Here is a 2543-nt window from a genome sequence, read left to right on the forward strand (position 1 = left end):
GCCTCAACAACAACAACAGCAACAATTAAGTATGCTTATGAAAAGAAACTCAGGTTTTTTTCATTAAAACATTTTAGGCCGGGCGTGGTGGCTCACACCTGTAATCCCAGCAATTTGGGAGGCCAAGGCAGGCGGATCACCTGAGGTCAGGAGTTTGAGACCAGCCTGACCAACATGAAGAAACCCCATCTCTACTAAAAATACAAAAATTAGCCGGGCATGGTGGTGCATGCCTGTAATCCCAGCTACTCGGGAGGCTGAGGCAGGAGAATCGCTTGAACCCGGGAGGCGGAGGTTGCGGTTAGCCGAGATCGCTCCATTGCATTCCAGCCTGGGCAACAAGAGCAAAACTCTGCCTCAAAAAAAAATTAAGATTTTATTTAGGATAGTATGCAAATTCAATAGTTAATATTAATACAGGAGTTATTAAGAAATTATTTTTAGGCAGCTAGAGAAGGTTAAACTTCTCCGCGCAATTTTCCTTTAATAAAAAGCAACCCCAAACCATTTCTTCTCTAATAGAAAGCGGCCTGAGAAGTCAGGCATAGATATGCAAACTGGAAGCTTTTATATGTAAATGCAGGCAGCTGTACCTGGAAGCCAGGTACATTCAATGTGGCATCTCCTGCCCTCTTTTTCTTATCACCACGTGTGCCAGCTGTCATGGCAGCCTCCAGATGACACCACGTGTACAGGCATCATGGCGACCAGCCACGTGGAGGCCAAGTTTACATAATAAAAGACTAGGGTGGGAGGGCCAGTCTTTTCGTGGGATGTGTAAATGGCACACCTGGTAAAACCAGTCCCCTGGCCCCATGTAAATCAATCACCGCCTCCTCAAGCCTCTTTACAAAACCAACTGCATTCCGCTGCAAACGGAAGACCCTCAGGCTACCGACTTTCTCAATATGAGAAAGCTTTTTCTCTCTCTTTTCTTTTTCTATTAAACTTTCTGCTCCTGAACCCACTCCTCATGTGTGTCAGTGTCCTGAATTATTTCTCAACCACGACCAAGAGCCAGGATATATACCCCCAGACAATGGAGCCCTTTCAATATCTTACATAATATTTGCTATATTATAGTATATATTCCTAAAAAATAATTTAAAAAAATTTTCCCATCACATCCCATATAGATGCCTCCAGATGCCACAAAAACTATCATATCTATGTCCTTTTCCTGCCATGACATGAAAAAAGTTAGGAAAGCATTAGTTTAAATCTAATGGCCAACCATTTCAATTATGTCTGTTTCCTATCACTACCCCCACGCTCCCAAACAGTCTTGTCTTTGTCTATCACTCCAATTCCCAATCCTGTTTACCCTGGCATTTTTACAAATTCCCATTCCCAGGATGCCCTGCCTTGCTTGGGACTGTAATACAACTACAATAAATTGATACACAGTCCTTCCATTTCTTATTACCTAAAATTAGTTGGGGATGCATCCTGCCTTTGTAAGACAAGTAAAATCATCTATTATGGACTGAATTGTGTCCCTGCAAAATTCATATGTTGAACCCCTGAACTCCAATATGACTATGTTTCTCAATTCCTCAATATATTGCCTTTAGGGAGGTAATTATGGTTAAGTGAGGTCATAAGGGTGGAGCCCTAATCTGTTAGGATTGGTGTCTTTATAAGAAGAGGAAGAGACACCAGAGATATCTCTATCTCCCTTTCTCTTTCTCTCTCTCTCCACATGCACAAAATGAATGTCCTGTGAGGACACAAGGAGAAGGCGGCAGTCTGCAAGCCAGGAAAGAGGTCTCCCCAAAGGAAGCAAGTTTGCTGACACCTTGATATTGGACTTCTAGCCTCTATAACTGTGAGGGGGGAAAAATCATGCTGTTTAAGCCTGTGGTTTTCTGTTACAGCTGCCCTAGGTGACAAATACACCATCCTGAAGGAACTCCACACTTAGTCACCTGCTACATATTTTGCTGCATCTGATTACATCTTATAATCTTTACATGCATCTTAGAAAAAGAAGCTCCTTAAATATATATATATATGTATGTAAAATGGGATCTTGCTAAGTCACCAGGGCTGTGCTGGCCTTCAACTCCTGGCCTTAAGTCATCCTCTCACCTTGGCCTCCCAAAGTGCTGGGATTACAGGTATGAGCTACCACCGGCCCAACAACAGCCTCTTATCTCCAAAATAAATCCGTTTGTCTGTAGCCTTCCTACCACCTCTTCCCATTTAAAGTCCTCTCTGTTTCTCTTTCCCACTCTTTCCTTTCTTTCTGGTATCAAGTTACTTTAGGACACTGAATTATTAGTGAAAAGGTTGTACAGTAGGCAAGAAATCAAAGTGAAGAGAGATGGAGAGTCTTGAGAAAATTTTTGTTCACACAATACAAAATCTGAAGAATTCTCCTATTTCATTACCACACAACAAAGTCAGTTGTGTGGTTATGAAAGCAGTCTTTCCCTCCAGGTTCTTTGTCAAGCTCCTTTTGAGCCCACTGCACCAACAGTACTAGATTCCTGGACTTTGGTCTTGTCTAGGATCTATGTTTATTGTCACCTTCTGTTAAT

General features: G+C 42.2%; 1 annotated feature.

Annotated features, from left to right (window-relative positions):
- Nucleotides 1157-1689: an enhancer, noted in NCBI's record as "H3K27ac hESC enhancer chr7:10948792-10949324 (GRCh37/hg19 assembly coordinates)". NCBI's record gives its function as "activates a minimal SCP1, AML or CMV promoter by ChIP-STARR-seq in naive H9 embryonic stem cells {active_cell/tissue: H9 hESC(naive)}" and the evidence as "EXISTENCE:reporter gene assay evidence [ECO:0000049][PMID:30033119]".

The sequence above is a fragment of the Homo sapiens genome, chromosome 7 (genome assembly GCF_000001405.40).
Source record: "Homo sapiens chromosome 7, GRCh38.p14 Primary Assembly".
In the NCBI taxonomy this organism is placed as follows: Eukaryota; Metazoa; Chordata; class Mammalia; order Primates; family Hominidae; genus Homo; species Homo sapiens.